Genomic DNA, 23,180 nt, shown 5'->3' with positions numbered 1-23,180 from the left:
TTGATGCATGGCACTTTGAGTAAGCCATGTCCTTTTTTTTTTTTTTCCTTACAATCGCCTTCCGTAAGCCAGAGGCTGTCTGTCTGCTTCAAGTCTGTGATTCGGGGTCCTTGAGTGCTGGTGATTAGGAGTGACCTGGGGGTCGCTTGACCCCCCTCCTGGGGGGAGGCTTGATTCTGTGCATCTGAATTTTCAACCCAGGTGGAGAGCAAAGGTGATAGTAAACAATTGAAGAAGGCTGGGCTAGCAGGGAATCCAGCGTTGATGGCGTTACGGATTGTAGGTGTTGGAAGATGGGGAGAGGCCTAGGGATACAACCAGGATGCAGGCAGGAGGCCCCAAAACATAAATCGAGAATTCGGGGACTGCTAGGTGTGAATAGTTGAGAGTAAGTGAGAGGGGGAAGCTCCCTGGGACGCAGTCAGAGTGAGCCGGCACCCTGGGGCTCCACACACCCTGGGCAGGCTCCGACTCACCCGAGGGGCCTCACTGTGGGCCTCTTAGGTCTGGGGGTTTCTCACCTTCCAGCTGCTTCCCCAACTTGCATGGAAACTTCCAAGGACTAGATAAATCTCAGGTGTGTGTGTGTGGTTTTTTTTTTTTCAGCCCAGCAGTAGTAGGCCTTGAGAGACACACGCTTATAATGAGGAAACTGAGGGTTCAGTGGTTAAATTCAGTGAACATAATTGAAAATCTAAAATATTTAATCTTCTTTGCCTAAAGTCACAAAGGGATTCAGCTGGAAAGAGAAGCCAGGTGTCCTGCGGTCCAGCCTGTTCTTTTGAAGCTGGGAGTGGGGTGGGTGGTGGAGGGGAACGGAGGCTGGTGGACTGAGGTTGGGTGGACCCAGTCCCTAAGCCTGGTCTTCGTGTTTGTTACCCAGCTCTGGCTTCTCTTCAGGTCCTGTCCCAGGGTGAAATTAAACATCAGCACTTTAGCAAAACAAACTCTTGAGTCCTGTGTCCCAGGCATTGGCCTTTCCAACAAGAGGAAGATGCTTGGTCTTGACCTCCTCACTTCATAGTGTTGGATAACCAGGGGTCCCTGGAACTGCGGCTTCTAATTTTGTGTTCTTCTTTCAGCTCAGCTGTTAACTAATGGAATCCATCTTGGATTTATCCAACTCCTTCACAGCGCTCTTTCAAACTATAGATCTTTTTCTTCCTTTAAAAGTATTCAGGTCTCTCCTCCCCAGAGATGCCCCACAGACCAGTCTCACCACACCCCCTTCTAACAAACCCCCTTACCTCCTCTCAGACTCAGCCCAGGCCTAATGAAGGTGAATGCCTGTACTTTTGTTTTATGCATTACTTTGTATTAAATTGTGTTCAATTCTTGTCGGTAGATTCAATTGATGACTCCTAATGCAGTCAGGTAGGGGTCTTAATTTCTTAGAAGGATCTGTCTCTACGTTACCTCTTACACTGCTGTTAGCTGTCTGTATTGCATATTTTGGTAAATATTGATTGATTGATTATTAGGCATCTGGCACCATGTGTGGCAGTTTCATGAATGTTAATTATTATAATTTTCATGATGATCCTGGGAGATTTCCCTTTTACACAAGGAAATTGAGGCTCCATGAATTTGAATAATTTACTGAGATTGCATAACCAGTAAATGGCAAACTAGAGCTCAAACTCGGGCCCTCGGACAACTCCAAAGTTGTCCCTCCAACTGTACTTATGAGCCACATGGTGAATGTCCGGTAGTGAAAACCTACCTTTAGCTCTTGTTGGGGGCTGGTGACGTAGCAGGAAACCTAGGTTGGACCTACAGGTAAGTGGCTCGTTCAAGGCTCAATACCTTCCCTCCCTTCCTAGTGGGCAGGCTTGTCCTGAAGCCTCAGCAGCCCGGCACCAGTGGGACAGTGCACTGACCTGTCATCAGCCCTGCACACCTGTCAGCTTTGTGGGCTTTCCAGCCAAGCCTTTCATTGGCCTGAACCAAACATCCTTCCCACAAGTGTGAGTTAAGGCCCTGGAGTCCTAAAAGGGTTTAATGTGAGATGGCAAAGCTCTAGCCTCAATTACTGAATTATGAGTTAAGAGAAAAATAGAATGGAATCACAAGCACCTGATGCCCAAGAACTGGGGGGTGTTCCTTCTTCACCCCAGAGGCCTCGTGGCCTGGGCCTGGCAGAGCATTCTGCTGTTCACCCCCTGGCTACCACGGGCAAATTATTTCCTTCTCCTGAGCCTGATTTTTCTTCTAAGAATGGAGACAGTACCTGCCTTGCAGGAGTAAGGGGCAGCTGCCAGCACATAATAGATGCTTCATAAATAGCAGGTCCCTCTCTTCAGGTGAGCCGTCAGCCGTGGCCTGTCCTGGCAGAGCCCAGCAGAACACCTTCCAAAGCAGTGGGAGCAACTGAGTTTTTGATGGAATTCTCCAGGTCTTAGCACTTTGACTATTCATCAGGCGACTGAGGCGAGAGGGCTGTGGGTTCTGCAGGGTCCCTGTCGTTCCTTTGTTCTTCCAATCCCACCTGTCCTAGCTGGTGGTTCTGCCCCACCTGTCACACATGGACAGGGTCTGCCCTCTCCGCCACCTGGGGTCCCATGGTGGTTCTGCTACTGCCACCTTCTGAAGGTCACTGGGCATGTCCGTATGGTCTTCCTCGATCGTAAATTTCCTTCTCGGTGCCCCGTGCACCTCTCCCCCTGTGCTCTGACCCAGGGGAGGTAGGGAGAGAGCAGAAGAAAAGCAAAGCCAGACTTAGGTGTTTGTTTTGATTTTATTTTGTGGGCAAGGTATGTGGTGGCATTTTATTGTTTAATGTCTGCTTTTAGGGAGTCTGCCATCTGCCTGGTAATAATGGCTGCAGCTCCTTAGTCACCGGTGAGCTAGAGCCTGGCTGTGCAGATTCCAGTAAATAAGATAACAGACGCTTGGCGGGGCTGCGGGTACAGAGCCAGCCCATGGGCTGCAGGCGCTGCCAGGAACTGCCCCACTACTGTGTTGCGGGGGTGGCAACTTTAGGGGGTTCCAGGCAGCCCAGGGTGGGCCCTCTGGGCAGAGTGGAGGGCTGTGGAGTTGGGGGCCCCTGTTCTTCCCCAACTTGGCTTTCCTTTTCTTTTTGGTCATGGGCTCTCAGAGTCTGGGGGCTCCTAGGGCAGGGTTTTGCTAGTGCTTGGAGAGAGAACCAGCTGCAGAATCAGGAGCTGAGGACAGTGAGAAACAGCACCAAGCCTCGGAAACCTTGTGGGCTTTTCTTTTCTCACAACCCAAACAACTGATGTTTTCAACCTTAGATGAAGACGTTCTTGCTTTGCAAGCTGCGTTGGCCAAGTCACATTGAGAATCAGGTTTTAACTGAGGGTGGAATTACAGCTGACAAATGTGAGCATTTGGGGGTGCTCTCTAAGGCTTTTCTGGAAGGTCTACTAGGGTCCACTTGCCTGTTGTCAGAAGGGAGAACTGGGGTGGCTTGTGTTAGAGAAAAAGTGGGAAGGAAACAAAATATTATCTTCACTTGATGTAAGGAGAATGCACATGACTCCAGGTAACCCGGGGCCAGTAAGCAGCGTCTTCCGTGGACCATGGTGGGTGTGGGGCTCTTTCTTGGGGCCCATTGCTGTGGCTCATACCCTGCCTGTGGCTCTGGGGTGGCTGACGTGGAGGTTCTGGCACTTTCCCAAAACCGTAGCCATCAGACAGTTAAATCCTGCCCTGCCGTTCCATTCATCAAAGCAGGGAAATGTGCAGGACACTTTTAGAAATATTCTCACCAATAAGCATCCGAAGGGTGATTGCTGCTTATCCAAACAAATAAGTAAGAATGATAATCCTTTAATTGCCATTCCCCAAGGTTTTCTAGTACCTAAGGCCTTCCCGCCACAACTTTGGCAGGAAATGGGTAGCTCTTCAAAGATGAGCTTTCTGGATAACGGAGCTTCCCCCTAATAAACGGTGCTTGATTTGGGCTCAGGCAGCCCGGTGACCATTGCCATGTGAGTCAAGTGAGCTGGCAGGGAACCTGGAGGTATCCTTGGAGGGGGAGTTTGCATCTGAAGAGCAAGCAGGAATGATATGCTTTTAAGCCCCGGAAGACCAATGTGAAGGCACCGTTCCTGTGCTGAGAAGACTGGTGGGAGGACCCCACAGCGAGCGCCTGCCGGAGTCCCCTCGAAGCTCGCCAGGTGGAGCGGCCACCACAACTCTGGAATGAGGCCCACTCCGACACCTGCCGTGGACTGCGAGAGTCTCTGGATGATCCCCGCTGCTGATTCTGCACCCGTCTCGGGGTAGGGGTGTGTGGGAAGGGGCCGGGCTGGCCTAGGGATTCACCTGTTTTGAAAGCAGAATTGCTCAGATTCCAGAAGCCCACTCACCCCTCTTGGGATTTGCCCTTAGTATTAGGCCAAGACCCAAGGCAGGCATTTACGCAGGATGGCCAAACCTGGCTGGGAGCCAGCTGCAGGCATCTGCCACCACCCCTTCCCTCTGAGTCACCCCATACTCATCCGTGCAAGGCGTAGAGCCCTGAGACGTGCTCACTGGCATCTTCCAACACGAACTCCAGGGGGACGATTGGAAGGAAGGGTGGCCGTGGAGTGGGGAGGAGGGGGAGCGCGGGAGAGAACCGTGCTCCCACCAGGCCTGGGCTTGGGCGTGAGGAGCTTTAAGTGCCCCACTGCGGCGTTAGGATAGCCAAGGCTTTAGCCTTGGATGCTGGCCCAGACCCTTCGGGGGTCTCACAGACTGCAGGACTTGCAGCTGCTCCTCCCTGGCTGCCTGGAGGCCGGCCCTCAGGCCGCGCAGCCATCTGTCGTGGTTCGCCTGTGAGGAGAGACTTGGGAGGGAGGGGCTTTCTGAGGCCTCTATTTTTTTTTTTCTCCTGTTCACCTTCCTTCTCAAAGCCCGACTTGATCTATGAGAACCATCTCCCCTACTGTCTCCTGACTGGGGAGAAAAGATGTCAGCGGATAGCCTCAAGCCCCCCCAACAACCTGCACTAGACTCTCTTGTTACAGTACACGTTCCTGGGTCTCGCCCGTCTGCTGACTGTGCATCACCAGGCGCTCAGCCATGCCTTGTGTGCACTTTGGACCAGCTTTGCAGGAGAGAGGCCTCCTGTTTCCCTGCTGCTCTTTTATCTGAGGAACAAAATCATGGGCCTTCTTGCCTACAGTCCAACTGGTCATTGAGTCTAGCAGTTTCCCCCCAAATCAGTTTCACCCATGAAGAGAGATAAGTAAATCCTTGTGCAATTGCAAAAGAAAAAAAAAGAATCCAGAGTATTTTTCAATGGTCCCAAATGCCGAGGCACTGCGGTTCAGCCAGCTACACCTTGTCTGGAATACTGTCGACAAACTAGAGTCCTGCCAGATGCACTTGACAATGAAATCAACCCGAGCATCACCAATCTCTGGTGCTGGACTCAGCTGCCACCACTTTGACAAAGTCTGGAGTGCAGTGAGTGAGGACACTAGGTGATGGGTGGGGAGCCCCGCCCGCTGTGGCCGGGGTTCCTCACATTTTAAATATCTGCCGTCGTCTTGCTGCGGGGCGGTCCCTGTGCTCACTTGGGCAGAGGGAAAGGGGGTAGTTTGTAGGGAGGGGTTACGAAACTATGCCTTTAGCCTCTTCCTTCCTCCAGAGCCTTCCCTTGAGTCTAGCGTCCCCACTACAGGCTTCCCCCGACTTTTATTCTCCAAGCGGTTTTTCTGTTTGGCCGTTGTCTCCACCGCATCCAGATTTATCTCTTCTCTCCCCTATGCCTTTTGGGTCTTCTGAGAGTAGCTAATCCAATAACCCGCCAAGTCAGAGAAGGGTTCGGATGCACGAGTTCTCGCTCCTGGCTTCCTCTGAAATGCTGCCTTGACCCAAGTGAGGGGCCCGGGAATAGGCAGTGGAAACGGTTGTGTAGGTTTGGGACATCGCACCCTGCTGGGACTTACCTGTTGGAGAAACTGGGCTTTTGGTGGCAAACGAATCATTCTTCCTACCTCCGTGGCAGCTGTGCATCTACGCTGGGTTCTGGAAGGCGCAGTGCTGGCCATTTCAGCTCGTAGGTTGGGAAGAAGGGGCAGTGTGCCCGATCTGATAGGTGTAACACGCCATGGTGCTTTGGCACCAAGAGGCCAATTGAAACTGGAGAGTTTTAGAGAATAAAGTATGACCGTCACCCACAGCACAGCTGCTTCCTGAAAATTCCACTCCCGCTGCATGAAAAAGCACATGGAGTATTCCAGGATTCTTAATATAGGCATTTTCCCACGTTCTGTAGATTGCTTGTTTTTCTTCCCCTATCCCATGGGTCTGCTGGTGGCTGACTGGCCACTTTTTGGTCAGCTTTATTGAGGTGTGATTTACATATAATGCCCTTTGACTGACAGTATACAATTAGATGGGTTGTCGTAAGTGTGCACAGTCATGTGACCACCGCCACAGTGTGATCTGGAACATTTCCACCACTCCACAAGGTCCCTCTGACCCTTTACAGCCTCTGCCCTTCCCCACCTCCACCTTCAGACTTGAGGGTGGGTCCATGTCTTACCTTTGTGTATCCCATGTCCAGCGCAATTCTGAACCCAGGTGGACACAAGTGATGTTTAAATGAGTACATTAGGAGGCCTGGCTTTTTTTTTTCCCCAGGCTGGAGTGCAATGGTGCGATCTTGGCTCACTTCAACCTCCATCTCCCAGGTTCAAGCGATTCTCGTGGCTCAGCCTCCTGAGTAGCTGGGACTACAGCATGCACCAACACGCCCAGCTAACTTTTTATAGTGTTAGTAGAGACAGGGTTTTGCCATGTTGCCCAGGCTGGTCTTGAGCTCCTGAGCTCAGGTGGTCTGCCCGTCTCCACCTCAAAGTCCTCAGGTTACAGGTGTGAGCCACTGTACCCAGCCAGCTCTGGCATATTTTAAAAATCCTCCCAAGACTCCTTCTGTCTCCTCCCATTGATCCTAAATTTTGAAGGATTGTCCACCCAAGCATTTGTTAATTAGTAATTTCTTCATTTAGTCACTCACTCCTGGTACCAGCCTTCCTGATCAGCCTGAGATAATCAGCGTGACCGAAGTTGATAACATTCCAGCTGAAAGCAGAGACTTGCTGTTCTCGTTTGCCTATGCAGTCACGGGTGAAATGTGCAATTTCCTTTCCGTTCCTTGAGTGCCTGCGAGCACTGCGAGAGCCTCCATTGTTACTTTCTGTTATCTCTCACCCTAGACCAGAAATCGCCAGCCTTCACCACTGGCCTCTGCCTTTTTCTTTTTTCTTTTAATAATAAATGAGGAAGTTAGCCCTTGAGCAATTTAGGAGTTCACCCAAGAGCACCCCAAAAGGCTTGAAGTTTACAGGGATTTTTCTCTGTCCCAAACTGTTTGTTGTTGTCATAGTTGTTGAGACGGAGTCTCGCTCTGTCGCCCAAGCTGGGGTGCAGTGGTGGGATCCTGGCTCACTGCAACCTCCGCTTCCCGGGTTCAAGCGATTCTCCTGCTTCAGCCTCCTGAGTAGCTGGGACTACAGGCGGCCACCACCACGCCCAGCTAATTTTTGTATTTTTAGTAGAGACAGGTTTGGCCAGGCTGGTCTAGAACTCCTGACCTCAGGTGATCAGCCTGCCTTGGCCTCCCAAAATGCTTGGACTATAGGCGTGAGCCACTGTGCCCAGCCTGTCCTAAACTTTGTCACCAAGGATTTGATGTGTCCCTTCATTCTGCCTTCCTGAGCTCCCTTTCACTTGTACGTTGGGGAAGGATCTTGGCAAACCTGAAGGTAAGGTGGAATCTGCCTCTTTCCTCTCATCAAAGCTCTGAGAAGGAAGAATCTGTAGTGTCCCTGGGTTCAGTAATCATAGTATATTGCCTCTAAACTCAGTGAAGCATTTTAAAGTGATAACTCATGTTTTCCAAATGAGTCCCAGGCATCACAGCCATGTCTTTGTTAACTCATATGTGGTTCTATACTTCTATATGTTAACTCATTTTCCAGTAGGAACTCCCATGATTCCCAGTTTTTAGATTAAAAAACAGAGAAATGAAGTAACTTTCCCAGGGTTACATAGTCACAAGATCACCTATTGCTACATAACAAACCACCCCAAAACTTAAAAATATGATTTGAAATCATCTTTCATGGATTTAGGAGTCATCTGGCTCAGCTGAGTTCTCACTGGGGGTTCCTCCTATTTGAAAAGTCAGGTGGCAGCTGAGCCTGGCACATCCTAGAGGCTCCTTCACTCTCACATCACTCCCTGGGGCTGGCCGTGCAGCTGTTTCTCCATCCGTGCAGCCTCTCCACGTGGCTGGCTTGAGCTTCCTCATAACATGGTGGTCTTGGTGCAGATTCCTAACGTGGCAGCTGGTTTCACCCGCGGCAGACATTACAAGAGATCCAGGAGGAACTGCGAGGTTCCTTCTCACCTAACCCAGAAGTCAGGTGGTGTGGTTTCTGCTGCATTTCTGTTGAGCACAGCTGCCCCAACTCAAGGATGGAGGAACAGATTCGCCCACTCAACAGGAGACAGCACATGTATGCAGGGAGGGACCACATTCCTAGTGGCTGTCCTGTGGGCTACTTACCCCATGGAGCCCCTGTGCCTGCCATGCGTTGAGCCACTTCCGCAGCGGCTTTCAGACTTTGACAGTGAGCCACGGCGAGGAACTTCACATCATGACCTATTGGATATAGACATCCCAGAAAACTCCTGGAGCTCTGGTTTTGTTCTATGAACAGCAGCCGCAACAAAACCTGTGTGTCCTGAGTGGATTTTATGACCTATGTCCTACGTGCAGTTTGAGAAGCAGTTCCACAGGATGCCACCTCAAGTGCCGACTCTGTGCCGCGATGGAACACCACGGAATAAAGAAAACAAATGTCAATTTGGGTTACACAGATGCCACGTCTTACCAACCCAGCAAAAGTCCAGGTGTTGAACAAAATAGCCTGTTGGTGAGTCAGTGCGGGAAATAGACTCTCCTACATCATAGTTAGGAGAGCAAACTGTCCAATGCTGAGGAGGGCTCGTGGTGACATCCGTGTCCCCACCCAAATCTCCTCTTGAATTGTAATTCCCACATGTCAAGGGAGAGAGCAGGTGGAGGTAATTCAATCATGGGGGTGGTTTCCCCCATGCTGTTCTGTGATAGTGAGTTCTCACGAGATCTGTTGGTTTTATAAGGGGCCCTTCCCCCTGTCTGCACGTGGCAGAAATAATAAATGCACTGACCTGCAAGCAGCAGCCACACTTCTGGGAACTTATGCTGGAAATATGAAGTATGGACCAAGTTTTTATTGTATTAATTCTCTGTAATTGCCAAAGATTGAAAGCAGCCTGCGTCACCTACAGGGGACTGGTTAAACTAGAGCATTCCAGACAAAAGCATATGACGTGGATACCCCCAAATCCCTACGTGCTGATATTGAAAGATCTCCCAGATAGGCGAGGCAGTAAGACACGAGCAAAACAGATAAGAGACAGGGAACAGCCTTCATATTTGCATTTGCATAAAGCAACCCTAGCTGTCTACGCAACTAAAAGTGGTTCCTCTGGGGACATGGCATGGCTGGGCCAAGGGTATGACTCTTCAATTACAGGTTGTTATGTTTTGACTTTTGAATCCTATTAATTTACTTTTTTTTTTTTTTTTTTTGAGACATAGTCTCGCACTGCTGCCCAGTCTGGAGTGCAGTGGCGCGATCTCAACTCACTGCAACCTCTGCCTCCCAGGTTCAAATGATTCTCCTGCCTCAGCCTCCTGAGTTGCTGGGACTATAGGCGCCCACCACCATGCCCAGCTAATTTTTGTATATTTAGTAGAGATGGGATTTCACCATGTTGGCCAAGCTGGATGAATTTACTTCTTAAAAAAAAAAAAACAAGCTGGATAATATAGCCGTTGCTCTCAGAGTCCTCACAATCTATACAGAGATACAATTTATATGTAAATAGCAAATGGGTAATACGTGACTGATTTTAAATTCTTAGGCATTAAAATGCAATGGAGTAGGATATCATTTTCAACTGGACTGCTCAGAAAAGTTGGTGTAAATTTGTGGGAATCAGCTAGTTTTTGAAGAATGAGTAGGATATAAATGGGTGAGAGAAAAAGGGTCAGGACACTCGAGGTAGGAAGGAATGGTGTGAGCCACTGCTGCTCAAATTTTGTAACAAGCCTCCCTTTGAAGGGAGAAAATTTCTTACTGATGGCTGTCCTTGAACCCCAATATGATAAAGATCGCCTTAAATTCCTATACAAAGTGTTTTAATCGCAAATCATCAGAATCAAGGAATTCCGGCTCCCCAGCTATTACCTTTAAAATCACTTATCTAGGTCAGGCACAGTGGCTCACATCCATAATCCCAGAACTTTGGAAGGCTGAGGCAGGCAGATCCCTTGAGGTCAGGAGTTCGAGACCAACCTGGCCAACATGGTGAAACCCCATCTCTACTAAAAATACAAAAATTAGCTGGGCATGGTGGTACATACCTGTAATCCCAGCTACTCTGGAGGCTGAGGCAGGAGAATCACTTGAACCCAGGAGGTGAAGGTTGCAGTGAGCTGAGATCACACCACTGCGCTCCAGCCTGAGCAACAGAGCGAGACCCTGTCTCAAAAAAAAAAAAATATATATATATATCATATTGCTTATATATATATCATATATATGTCTATGATAACTTTAACCTTGTGGGAGTCCTGAGCCCCCTTTTTTGAGGAATGCTGGCACGGGGGGATTAAAGAGGAGTAGAGGGTGTCCCAGGACAGCGTGTAGGTCAGGTGGCTGCTGCAGAAGAGCGGTGTGGGAGAAAGGAGAGGCTGAGGCCAGGGCTGTGTCCTGGGGTGCACTGAATGCCAGGCAGAGTCCGACACCTTCTGCAGGCAGGAAGCAACCACTGAAGGTTTCAGCCAGCAGGTCCCTGTTCAATGTTCATTCCTTTCTCTAGGCTGGGCACACAGATAGCCTGGGGAGAACTGACCTACTGTGATCTTTTGATTCTGCCCTTTAAGCCATGAAAATAGGGCAGTGCAGACTAAGAGGGGGCCAGGTGGGCCGTGGGGAGTATCCCTCAGGTAGCTTCGGTTTCCCCTCCACCTGTGGAGTTCCCCTTTCTTCTTCACGGACCTCTCCAAAGGCTGTCTCCCAGATTAGTCTGAAAACAGATCTTTGGGAAACGTTGGCACCCTCGGCCATCCTGGAAGGTCAGAGTCCACTCACTTTGGGCACGAAGACCTGAGACGTGGCAGCCTCGTGTTGCACAAGCAGAGGGAGGTGTCCCTGGGCCTCATGAGTGCAAAGGGCAGAAGTTCATGATCCAGGGGGCTTCTAGGATCCACTGCTGAGAACCAAGAGTGAAACCAGAAGCACTGGCAATGCCAGGGACAAACTACACAAAGGGGACGGTCCTCTGGCTCTAGGGATGTCCCACAGGGCCTGACCCAGAATCTTCTGCACTTTCTCCATGAGAAAGAAAGATCCCAAACCCTTCTGACAGGTGTAGGTGACACACGCAGAGGCCACACTCAGGGAGGGGTTTCCTTCTGCCTCTCAGCAGCCACCAGGCCCTGCAGAGAGGCTTGGGCTGCATGGAGACTCCATCCTGCACACAGGACACGAGTCAGGGACACCTCAGTGACCAGGCCCTGCTCACAGAGGCGTCCAAACTCTGTCCCAAGAGACGACGACTTTTAACCCCATTCCTAGGACATGCGATGCAGGCTTTTTGCTTTTTCTTGTTTGAAAAAACAAAGACGCAAACAACCCCCTGTTTTTTGTACCTGACTCCCAGCTGGCGCAGCAGCTGATCTGGAAGTCTCTCCTCCTCTGGTGACTTTGGCCTCACATCTCAGCAGTTTTCTTCCCTCTCCTCCTTATATAACAAGCCCCTCTAGAACAGAATGAGTTTGTTGGCAACAAAACACCAAAAATAAGAAAACCTAGCAAATTCCCTTGTTTAGGTTCATTAGCGCCGTGGTTTGCAGCCTTGAGTCCCCAACCAAGAAACTCAAGCTTTTCTGCACCACGTAGTCTCCCCGATGAACCAGCTGCCCAGCGAGCCCTGTGAGGGGTCCCCCAGCTCCAGACATTCTGAGGCTGCCTGGTGCCTGCAGCTGGTCCCTGGCCTCCATCTGGAGCCCTCTGTACTTGGTCCTCATTGCCCCAGCCTGGGGGCCAAGGGCCTGGGCCTGAGAGATGGGGACCTGGGTTCTCAGACCCTTCTCCCAGCTTCCTTGCTGCCCAGCCCCAGCAAGGTATTTAATCTCTGAGTGTCTCTGGTCTCATTTATCTTCTTGGTCTGAGCGCTGAGCCTCAGACTGGATCCCACTAATCTTCTGACCCTGAGCCTGGGAGCATGGCATGCACCTTTCTCTGTGTTCTAGAAGGACCTGGAGCCGTGGATACAGGAAGAATTGACCTCTCCAGTTCCCATTTCCTGGGGAACCTATGACCTCCAGCATCTCTGAGGAGCTGGGTGGGTGGTCCAGGCCTGGCGTGATGGGCAGTTGTTTGGCAGATGAAATTGAGGCCATCTCTGGCCATTTGCTGCTATTGCTTTTTAAAAATTTAGTGGATTTTACTTGTGAGCAGTTTTAGGTTTACAGAACCTGAAGCGGAAAGTTCAGAGGGTGCCCATCTGCCCCTCCCTGACCCTGCAGCCCCCATGCCAATCTCCCCTGTTGTCTGCGTCTGGCATTACTGTGGCACCTCTGTTACCATTGAGCTTCTGTTGATACCTTATTGTTAACCGAAGTCCATAGCTGACATTAGGGCTCACTCTTGGTGGTGTACATTCTGTGGGTTTTGACAAATGTGTGATGTCGTGTGTGTGATGTTGTGTGTCCACTATTACACTCTCATGCAGAGCGGTTCCACCGCCCTAGAAATCCCCTGTGCACCACCTGCCCTTCCCTCCCTCCCTCACCCAAGCCCTGGCTGCCATCACATCCTTTGGTGGTTGTCCTGCCTCTGTCCTGGAACTGCTCATGCCTTGGGGCCTGAACACAGGCTGTACCCACCAGGTGGCAGTGACCAGCGTGGCCCTGGGGCCCACCTGGATGTGTTCGAAGGAGGAGTGTCATTGCGGTGCTGGGAGGTGGGATGGCCTGGAACAGAATTTGTTTTGGGAAGGCCTTGGAGGAGCTGGAGGGGTTGAGTCTAGACACCTCCTGTCTCAGAGGAGGAAACTGACGACCAGAGATGGGAGGCGACTTTCTTTTTTTTTTTTTTTTTGAGACAGAGTCTCGCTCTGTCGCCCAGGCTGGAGTGCAGTGGCGTGATCTCAGCTCACTGCAAGCTCCGCCTCCCGGGTTCACGCCATTCTCCTGCCTCAGCCTCCCGAGTAGCTTGGACTACAGGTGCCCGCCACCACACCTGGCTAATTTTTTGTATTTTTTAGTAGAGACAGGGTTTCACCATGTTAGCCAGGATGGTCTCGATCTCCTGACCTCATGATCCGCCCACCTCGGCCTCCCAAAGTGCTGGGATTACAGGCATGAGCCACCGCACCCGGCCCGTGAGGCGACTTTCAAATGACACAGCTGGTTAGGCAGAAATCTAGATCCAGGCCTGCCTCACTGAGGGGGTAGAGGTTCAATTTATCTTTTTAAACAAGAATTAAACTTATAAAAAGACTAAAAAGTAAAATTTTAAAAGAGCTAGCAGTGTGGTTGTTGTGAGTGTTGTTAGCCCACCCGTGAGGGATTTTGGCCGGTGTGAGGTTCTGGAGGGGGCGGCATACCTCCCAGGCACCTTCATGTCCTATCTGGTAGCTGCCTGCAGCGTGGCCCTGGCGGTGTGGCCTGGAATGGGGAGTAGCAGACACCTTCTCCTGACCTGGCTGGTCTTTATGCATCGCTGCTGGCTAGATGCTAGATGCTGGCCGGTGGCATCTGGAGCCCCTCCATGCAGAGTGTCCGCGCCCGTCAGTCTGGAGGACACGACAGGTTCCATGGTTCCTGGGAAGTTCCTGGAGCGGCTGCCGCCTGCGTGGCTGGGATCACAGACTGAAGGGCTCTGGGGAAGTCACAGATTCATGTACAATAAATGACACCAGAAAGGGAGTTGGAGCACGGGCTTTGTGCTGTCGCTGGAGACAAGATGCAAAGGTGCCCGCAGAACCCAAGTGGCTTCATAGAATTAGAACATTTGCTATGTGCCCAGTATAGCCAGGCCCGTGCGAGGGATGGCCAGCCCGTTGCAATCCTGTAAGAGTTACTGTTACCAGCTTATGTAGTGGAAACACAAGCTAGAAAGTCAGAAGCAGCTATAAGAGCATGACATGATCAAAAGGGACCTTGGTTAGAAGTTGCAAGACCAGGATTTGGTTCTGGCTGAGTCACGGCTCTACCATGTGGCTCTGAGCAACTTGCTTGAATCTCTGGACATCTGTTACCCCACCTGTAACAGAAGGGCCTTGGAGAATTTCTGAGGCCATTTCCATCCTAACACCCTGTGACTGCCCAGTTCTCTGGGTTTAGGCGCTAGAGGTGAGGGCACCCGCAGCAGGCCCGGGCCAGTTGGGAACAGAAGCTGACAGGCACCGCTCGGCAGGGGGCTGGGGCTGGTGGTTGTCCCCAAAGGTGTAATTGCTGTTCTGGGTCTAGCGGTGGCCTGGGGATGAGGCCAAGCTACCCTGCATGTCAAAGGGCCAGGGGAGGAGCAGATGGGGGTGGTGGTGAGAGGTGAGGAGGGAGGGAATCACCACACCCTTGTGGTAATAAAGAGATGTGATGTTCTGTGTTCTTAACTCCATGTGTATTTCTGGGCATAAAGTACGGAGAGGGGTCAGAGGGCTTCAGCCAGGAGAGGAGGACAGATGGTACCCCTTGCTCCACACTTCTGGTGACACCTCGGGGACAGAAGGTCAGCTCTTCTCTGTTCCCTGAAATCTACCTGCATGATTTCAAAGCTTATCTAATGCAGAATTTTTCAGACTTTTTCACCCACAACACAATAGGAAGTACATTTTATTCAGGCTGGGTACAGCGGCTCATGCCTGTAATCTCAACACTCTGGGAGGCCAAGGCAGGTATATCCCTTGAGCCCAGGAGTTCAAGACCAGCCTGGACAACATGGGAAAACGCCATCTCTACTAAAAATAGAAAAATTAGCCGGGCGTGGTGGCTCACACCTGTAATCCCAGCTACTTGGGAGACTGAGGCATGAGAATCGCTTGAACCCGGGAGGCGGAGGTTGAAGTGAGCCAAGATTGCGCTACTACACTCCAGCCTGGGCGACAGAGTGAGACTCCATCTCAAAAAACAAAAAACGAACAAACAAAAAAACAGGCCGGACACGGTAGCTCACACCTCTAATCACAACACTTTGGGAGGCCAAAGTAGGTGGATCATGAGGTCAGGAGTTTGAGACCAGCCTGGCCAACATGGTGAAACCCCATCTCTACTAAATATACAAAAATTAGCCAGGCGTGGTGGCGGGCGCCTGTAATCTCAGCTACTCAGAGGCTGAGGCAGGAGAATCACTTGAACCCAGGAGGCGGAGGTTGCAGTGAGCCGAGATTGTGCCATTGCATTCCAGCCTGGATGACAGAGCAAGACTCTGTCTCAGGGGAAAAAACAAACAAACAAACAAAGTACATTTTATTCTATGTGTGTGTGAATCATTGAGACACAGGCTTCATGCAACCATGAGATACATTCTTATTGTAATTCAGTTTTTGGTGGTTGTGCAATCCACTAAATTGATTTCATAATCCACTGACAAGTTGGGACTGTCAGTGTGAAGAGCCGTGGCCAGATGCTGCGGGAGTGGCCGGCTCACCCCGGGATGGAAGTGAGGAGACAAATGAAAGCTCCTCTATTCACTATGCTTGGCTTGGGAAGCCCTGGCTTGCTTTTTAAGTCCATGGTATTTCCTCCTTCCTCTGAACTCCCTGTACCTTTTGATCTATAATGTGCCTGGCACAGAGCAGGTGGGTGAAACAAGATGGAGTAGAAGGAGTCCTTGGGTACCCGTAGAAAGTGTTGGGGAAGAATCTTTTGATGTATGGCTCTGTAAATATGGACAGTTGAGATTCTGGAAGCACTGAGGTGGCAGCCTTTGCAGGCCTCAGCTCTGGGCCAAAGCCCAAAGCCACATCTTGGGTAGCTGTTTGGGAGCAGAAATGAGGTCTCTGAGCCCTCGTTCAGAGGTGTCCTCTCTCACACAAGGTCCTCTACGTAGAGGAGGGTGTGTCTCAGAGCCAGCCAGCAACTCGGTGACCTTACAAAAATGTCCCCAGGGTGCCCAATTTTATTGTAGTTCATGGTGTCCCTCCTGCAGTTTGTCTTCAAGCACTAACCAAAACCGCTGGGTGTGTACCCGGTGGGGAGCACCAGGCGGCGGTGGGGGGTGGGGGGGGTGGCAAGAAGCTGACTGTGGGGGAAGCGTCAGATCTGACCAGGGCCATTTGGGCCTCTGCAGCAGAGGTCAGGCCGGGGCCATCTCACTTTCACCTCGTGGCTGGTTTTTTCCTCTCTGAAGTCTGGGTGGCCGATGACTGGAGGGTGTGTCTGCAGCTGGCTGGCCGGGCCGGGTGTGGGGCCTCGGGGCCTTTCCCTTGAGTCGGTAGTGCCCACGGAGGGCTCTATGCTGGTATTGGCTGGTGGTTTGGCATTTTATTTGCGAGCCAATAAAACCTCCCCAGAACCCCAGAGCTGGCCTTTTCACACCCTGTCTTGGTAGAATCATAATGTCAGAGCTGAAGACAGTCCTAGAAATGAAGGGCTGTTCCCTCCGTACAGGGGCTGGAGGTGGCGCATCAGGATGTCATTCCCTTATCCCGAGGTCTTGGTGTTTACTGGCCCCCGGGCCGTCCTCAGTCATTTACGCCCCAGCTTATGACCACTCTCCCCGTGTCAGCTCTGCGAAGGGGAAGGACAGAGGCTCATGGAATCCAGCCCTGGGAGGAGCCGGTGACTCAGGGGTGAAAAAGACGCGGTCCTTGCCGAGCTCCAACTGGGTGTGGCAGGAGACAGGCCCTCAGTGACAGGACAGGGTGACAAGATGCCATGACAGACACTTGCACGACTGTTACCCAGCGTGCGAAGGCAAGAGGATTGCCCCACTCTGCTGCCAAGGCTCAGAGACGAGGCTAGGAGGTGATCGTGGTGCTTTTCTAAACCTGTGATTGCCCTTCACGTACTGTGAATGTTCCCTGACAGTCAAAGGAGGACATTTGGCCATTTCCTGTTGTTCTCTAAGCACTGCCAGGACAACGGCCCTTCACATCCGTCTTTGTCCTCTCGTCCAGCTGGGGCCTGTGGGTGTCTCACTGGGCCCTGGGCAAAGTGAGGGTTCCATAGTGTGGACAGAGAGCCACAGTGTGGGCGGAGAGCCCACCCGATGACTGAGCAGACCCATCCGTCTATGCAGCGAAGGCTGAGAGCTTCCAAACAGCGGCCTGCTTTTACCCTGGACTCTCCCCATGTCTGTCCCCACCAGCTCGGGTGAGGGGGCCTAGGGCTCTGTGTTAGGAGGGGTCTGCAGAGAAGGAGAACCAAGACTAGAGATCCAAGCATATAGATCTCCTATTTTTCTTAATATATGTATACTAAGAAAATATATTAAGTTAATATATTATGTGATTATATCTCCTTAATATACATATTTTTCTTAATATGTATATTGAGATATAATCACATAATATATTAACTCTATATAATGTATATAACATGATTACATATACATATTATCGTGATATATATATATATATATATATATATATATATATATATATATATGAGATTTGTTTGAAAGAATTGACTCATGCGTTGGTCGGAACTGGAAAGTCCCGAATCCACTGGGCAGACGGACTAGAAGCTCAGGCAGTCGATGCTGCAATCATGAAGCAGAATTTCCCCTTCCAGAACCCTCTGTTTTCCCTCTTCAGGCCTGCTGCGGATTGGGGGAGGCCCACCCACATCATTCAGCATGATCTGCTTCACTTCAAGTCACTGACTGTAGATGTCATCCACGTCTGCAAATACGCCCACGGCAGCCACCTGCTTGGTATTTGATTGAATCAGTGGGTGCTATGGCCTCGCCAGGCTGACACATCAAATTAACCGTTACTGACTCCACGATGGGATGTGGTCAGTGGAGCCCAGCGCTCCCTGTCCCATAACATCCCCTCCCCTGCCCCCTGGCTGGGGCCCGCAGTGCCACCTGTGAAGACCGCAGCTACTCCGGATGGAGGCGGCAACCTGCAGCCCAGGCCACACCCTTGGAAGGGAGCTGGGAGGCTGCCTGCTGCTGGTCCTCGAGGAGACGGCTGCACAGACCATGCAAATGCGCCCCCCAACCTGCATGTCCCGGGGCCTCCCAGGTACTTGCCTCCTTCCTCATGAACTGGGAGCTGACCCAGACTCCTGTAGCCTCCACCCAACCTGTCCCTCTAGGTGCTGCCCCTGCCCCCCACTCTCCCTCCTTCTGGGGGATCTCAGACAGGCTGGAAGAAGACAAGCATGTGTGATGAGCAGAGGCTGGACTCAACCTGGCCTGGGAGCAGCTGCCTGTAAGAGGCTGCCCTGGGGCCCTGAACTAGGAAGGGGCTCTCAGGAATCCCACAGCACAAGCCCCTGAGGTCAGGACGGTCAGGATGGCCACCCCCAGCTGGTCAGAAGAGGCACTGTTGGCCCCTGCAGAGCATCCTCCACCACAACGTGAGGAGGCCAGTGGGGTCCCTCCAAGCTTCCATGGAGCTCTGGTCAAGTAAAGGCTGCCCGGAGTGGGCAAGGAAAGGCTCGGCTGCCCTTTGCACGAGGACAGAGCCGGAGACTCTGGCAGCGGCCATGCTGTGATCCTCTTTAGAACTGCCGTGCACAAGTCATGAATCATCTTGGCTTTCACCTTGGGAACGGGATAAAGACAGCTCTCTAATTATAAGGGGGACAGCCAGTGTCTTTGCAGAAGCCTCTGAAACCCGATCTCAGGCCTTGGTTGAGTGTGAGCAACTGCCCTGGCTTCCGCGGGAGCCGCATGAGGGGCCTGGCTGCCCTGGTGATGATGCCTTTGTTGCTCCCCACAGCCTTCATCATCAGGCCCCAGTGTGCCCTCGGCCAGCGGCCCTCGCCATGCCCAGTGCCACGGGGGCTCACACCGCGGGAAGGGCCTTTGATGACGTCCTCTGGTCTCGTTTCCCACCAGCCCGTGATAAGAAGGATGATGGCCTCCTTTTACACACTGGAAAGTGGAGGTTCCTGGATTTTAAAGGGCGTGCTCCACATAAGACGTGAATGCAGAACTGCGGGGAGGGTCGAGGTCTCCTGGGCACTCCGGGCCAGGGATTCTGCAGCTACTTGGTTTTGAGCAAAAAGAGTTTCATGTCTGGTGCTGATATGGAGCTAGGGAAGCCCCGGGTGGCCTCGGGCCAGACGAGGAACTGGGAATACGGTGGAGCAGGGGACTTCCTCAAAGCCAGGGGAGGCTCAGGCTGCCAGGCCAGGGTCCTTGGCCTTGGGGGGCGGGGAAGGGGAGCCCCGAGGCGGTTGTGGGAACCAGGACCACCAGGTGAGGGAGCCAGGGAGGAAGGGTGGCCATAGGAGTGAAAAACAGTTGGATGTTTCTTTTGACATCAGGAAGTTGCTTAGGCTGTAGTGAGAAACTACGGTGTCCTCTGTGGAAAGTAAATGGCTCTGGAACTTCTCTGAGAGTGGAGCTTAGGCCTTCCCGGATTTGGCCACTGGCCCTCCCCTGCTGCCTGGTTCCAGTGATTCAATATTTGTTCCTTATTTTTCTGAGAGTGGTTATATAACATGAATGTTTTTCAAAGGCTCCAATTGACCTGGCTCTGGTCACCTCCTGCCGCCCATCAGTACCAAGAATTGCCCGTTTGGTGGTTTTGGGGATTGCGCAAGGCCGGCCTGTCCAGAGGCACCTCCCCCGTGCCTCCCAGCAGAGGGGCCTGCCAAGGCCGTCACCACTTGGGGCGAGATCCAGGCCACAGTCACCACTCAGCCGTGGTCAGAACCTATGAGCCACTCCCCGGGCAGTGACTGAGGGCAGGCAAGGTGGGCAGGACGGGGTCCAGGTGGGAACCGCGGGCCTCGGGCCTGTAGCTGGAGATGCCACACGCAGCTTTCCCGGGGTCACTGGGCGTCTGATAGAACCCGCCTGGTGCTGGATCCCACAGCCCAGGCCCTTAGGATTGAGGGAGCTGAACAATCAGTTGAGAAACCTTAAGGGTTAGAACCTAAGAAGCGTATCAAGACACAGGTTAAGATGGAAAGGCAGAAATGCTGCTGGGTCCTGGCCGTCTCACCTAGATAGCGTTGTGAAGGCAGAGGAAGCTCCTTCCTTCCCCGGCGGTGCACGCCCCGAGACTCCGTCCAAACACCCTGTGGCTCTGAGAGCAGTGGAGAGTCTTTGGTCGTTTGAGAGTAGGAGGAAATTATTTTGATGATGAAGATAGGAGATGAGAACATGCATCTTATTCTGAGTCTAATGGGAGTCCTTTACAATGTTCCTGATCTCGCCTATTGTTGTCCGCTTCAGTGGGTAAAAACAGAGAACGTGCGAGCTACAAGGCATCTTCACAGGTTCTCTAGTTCAACCCTCTCATTTGACAGATGAAAAACTGAAGTCCGGATATGTCCAAGATTCCCCAGATCGCAGATCACAGAGCTGGGGCTCCGGCTCAGCCCCCGGCTCCCTCCCTGCTGCAGGCTGTGTTCTTGTGGGCCTGAGGGACACGGGGGCTTGAATATGGCCGGGAGGGGCCCTGGCCTCGGCGGACGCAAGGCCCAGCAGCTCCAGATGGTGCTCTCTGTGCTGGGGTCCGCTCAGCAGGAGCGGAGAATGCAAATCATTCTCGATGTGTTGCTTCCTCGGTTGGAATCAAACAGGAATGTTGTATCGTGACCCTGATATTGTAAACCTCGAGTTTGCCCTGAGGTGGGGGCCATCGTGGGCCCCTGCTACTGGCAGCCTTTCTATTTGTCCTGTATTTGCACTCTTGTCTGTCTTCTTTCTGGGGTATCCCAGCTGCATCAACAAAGGAGCTCTGTAAGACAAAACATCAGAAACGCTGGAAGGTCGGAACTGCATCTGATCGATATACACTTAGCACCTGCTGTCAGGGCTAAGATGTGAGTAAAACTGCCCCCATCCTTCAAGAATACACAAATTAGTTGATTGCAAACATTAGAAAGTCTATTATCCTATGGGGAAATATTGGGATAAGTAGCGGGCCGGGGGCAGGAGGAGCTGTATGTGACTCCAAATGTGGATAGTGCAAGAATGTGAAGTGATTGCATTTGGTGGTGGGATTTTTTAGACTTTCCTGTTCCTTGCAACACCAGCTTGAGTTACTTTTAGTTAAGAAGAACTTGAAGAGAAAGTTAGTATGGTAAGTTGCCTGGGGAATGAATCACAGGACTATACAAATCCTTATGTATCCTTCCTTCCTTCCCCTGAGGTCACACTGTGCCAAGGATACTTGTTTTAGGAAGAAAAGCTCTCTTTTTATAGCCTCTGATACCAAATTGTTTTTCTATTACTGGAACTGAACCACTCCAAGGAGGTGGTAAAGTTTCATAGAAAGAGTTCTGAGCTAGGAGCAGGTGGACCTGGTTACAGGACATGCTTGCTACTGTCTGATTCTCTGGCATTGGGCAAATGACTTAACCTCTCTGACCCTCAGTATCTTCATCTATAGTCGGGGATGATACCACTTGTCTTTCCTACTTGTGTGGGTTGCTGTAAGGACCAAATGAGGCAACAGTTGGGAGATTTCAGAAGGACATACTAATGTCAGATTAATGTTGGCTCTGTCGTTAATACTTCACTTTTTTTGTGATAGACTTTTGGCTTTTGCCTGGATTTCTAAGGCAGCGAGATGGATGAATGAGTTGCTTTTAAGGTCAGCTTACATCTCAGGAATTCTCTCAGATTTAGGGCTTTTCTCTTTGGTCCTGATGCTTTTCTGACAGGTGACTTTATCAGTCCAAATCCTGAAAATTCACCTTTTTATCTCCAACACATGTGGTCAAGGTCTGACTTACATTTTGTGCAGCGGATGAAAATCAGAGTGCTAAAGCTGTCTCTTGGCGGAAATCAGGGCTTCAGCATCTCTTGGTGCCTCAGCGTTGCCCCCTAAATGTCCTCCCAGTCCTGTGAGGGCCTGAGTGGCCGGCAGACGGGAAGAGGAAGTGAGGGACTGGACTGGGAGTAGAGACCAGTGGTGGGGAAGGCCCAAAGCTCTGGCAGGAGTTTTAAATTTAGAAATCACGGGAATGGGGCACATCCAGGAGCCTGGGCCTTCTGGCATGTCACCCGAGACACCAGGTCCTAAGTATTCTACAAGCCAAGACTCTAGTTGCCATAGTTGCAGTTAGAGATTTTCCCACACCGGCCCCAAGATGCGTGATGTTTCCTGGTGAGCTCTGGAGATGAGAGCCAAGATTAGAATACTGGGACTTGCTGGGAGGTGGGATTGGGGGTGGGGAGCCTTCCAGCAAAGCCTGCCATCTGTGCCAGGGGACTTCCCTGTTGGGCTGCATGACCAGGCAGGCACACACACCTGAGTCCAGCAGCCACGCAGCAGGCCACGATGTTGGGCTTGACTTGATGCTTTCATACTCACTCCAGCCCGAGACACCTGCGTGGGACCTGCCTCCACCACTCCGGGCAGCCGCCTGGGGTCCACGGGCAGCCTGAGCTAGCAGCAGGCCTCACATCCGGCCCTCAGCTCTTTTACACCATCTTGACGTGAGTCCCTTTGAACCTCCTCGGCCTCAGTTGTTAGAGCAGGATGCTGCTTAGGGTTGCATGAGGAGCAAGTGAGGATTTGTGAAAAAGCTTCTGCATGTGGAAACTGCTGGTGCTGAACAAATGTTAGAGGGTAATGAGAATTTGAAACCAGAGAGGAATGTGCTCATTAAAATGGGCGATAAGAGACCCACCCTGGTCCCTCGTCACTTCCTAGTGAATTGCAACTGCGTGTGGCCTGATGGTTCACTGGCCCAGCGGCACAGACTCTGCGGCCCCATGCTTGCTGCAGGCGCAAGAGGGTGCTTGGTCGGGGAGTTAATTCAAACACATCTGGAACCTGCTGCCTGCCGGGTACAGTATGAGGCCAAGAATAGAGAGGTGGGTAGCTTTCCTCTTGCCAGGGATGGATTCAAAGTCTAGTTAGAGAAATAAACTGATAGATGAGTATAATACGGGATTATCAGTCTGGTAATAAAGGTGTATCTAAAGTACTGTGGGACACAGTCTAGGATAATTAAT

General features: G+C 51.5%; 1 protein-coding gene and 1 long non-coding RNA gene across 18 annotated transcripts in view, besides 5 other annotated features; one reads left to right on the top strand and one right to left on the bottom strand.

The window, feature by feature from the left end:
* The window catches only part of PRKAG2 (protein kinase AMP-activated non-catalytic subunit gamma 2), a 320,989-nt gene that overhangs the window by 63,577 nt on the left and 234,232 nt on the right, over positions 1–23,180 (top strand). For 4 of the 17 annotated variants that reach the window (XM_011516284.2, XM_011516282.2, XM_011516283.2 and 1 more), the window contains exon 1: positions 22,907–23,039. The exons of 10 other annotated variants lie outside the window; for them this stretch is intronic. In XM_011516284.2, coding sequence (XP_011514586.1) covers positions 22,938–23,039 — 102 coding nt within the window. In that variant the 5' untranslated portion in view covers positions 22,907–22,937. Of the gene's footprint in view, positions 1–22,538; positions 22,659–22,906; positions 23,040–23,180 lie in introns of those variants that run through there. 3 more of the 17 variants (XM_047420448.1, NM_001407027.1, NM_001407024.1) reach the window with 1 other exon arrangement.
* Positions 2,719–7,201, bottom strand: PRKAG2-AS2 (PRKAG2 antisense RNA 2). The gene is made up of 3 exons (NR_171033.1): positions 6,503–7,201; positions 5,904–6,167; positions 2,719–4,290 (listed from the first exon to the last, which is right to left on the bottom strand). It is a non-coding gene; the product is annotated as a PRKAG2 antisense RNA 2 (long non-coding RNA).
* Positions 16,426–17,007: an enhancer, noted in NCBI's record as "H3K4me1 hESC enhancer chr7:151493618-151494199 (GRCh37/hg19 assembly coordinates)". NCBI's record gives its function as "activates a minimal SCP1, AML or CMV promoter by ChIP-STARR-seq in naive H9 embryonic stem cells {active_cell/tissue: H9 hESC(naive)}" and the evidence as "EXISTENCE:reporter gene assay evidence [ECO:0000049][PMID:30033119]".
* Positions 17,008–17,590: an enhancer, noted in NCBI's record as "H3K4me1 hESC enhancer chr7:151493035-151493617 (GRCh37/hg19 assembly coordinates)". NCBI's record gives its function as "activates a minimal SCP1, AML or CMV promoter by ChIP-STARR-seq in naive H9 embryonic stem cells {active_cell/tissue: H9 hESC(naive)}" and the evidence as "EXISTENCE:reporter gene assay evidence [ECO:0000049][PMID:30033119]".
* Positions 17,851–17,990: an enhancer, noted in NCBI's record as "active region_26870". NCBI's record gives its function as "activates an Ori minimal core promoter by ATAC-STARR-seq in GM12878 lymphoblastoid cells {active_cell/tissue: GM12878}" and the evidence as "EXISTENCE:reporter gene assay evidence [ECO:0000049][PMID:35858748]".
* Positions 18,535–19,432: an enhancer, noted in NCBI's record as "H3K4me1 hESC enhancer chr7:151491193-151492090 (GRCh37/hg19 assembly coordinates)". NCBI's record gives its function as "activates a minimal SCP1, AML or CMV promoter by ChIP-STARR-seq in primed H9 embryonic stem cells {active_cell/tissue: H9 hESC(primed)}" and the evidence as "EXISTENCE:reporter gene assay evidence [ECO:0000049][PMID:30033119]".
* Positions 22,521–23,022: an enhancer, noted in NCBI's record as "H3K4me1 hESC enhancer chr7:151487603-151488104 (GRCh37/hg19 assembly coordinates)". NCBI's record gives its function as "activates a minimal SCP1, AML or CMV promoter by ChIP-STARR-seq in primed H9 embryonic stem cells {active_cell/tissue: H9 hESC(primed)}" and the evidence as "EXISTENCE:reporter gene assay evidence [ECO:0000049][PMID:30033119]".

This window comes from Homo sapiens, chromosome 7 (assembly GCF_000001405.40).
Source record: "Homo sapiens chromosome 7, GRCh38.p14 Primary Assembly".
NCBI lineage: Eukaryota > Metazoa > Chordata > Mammalia > Primates > Hominidae > Homo > Homo sapiens.
This window is presented reverse-complemented; position numbering and strand designations above follow the sequence as displayed.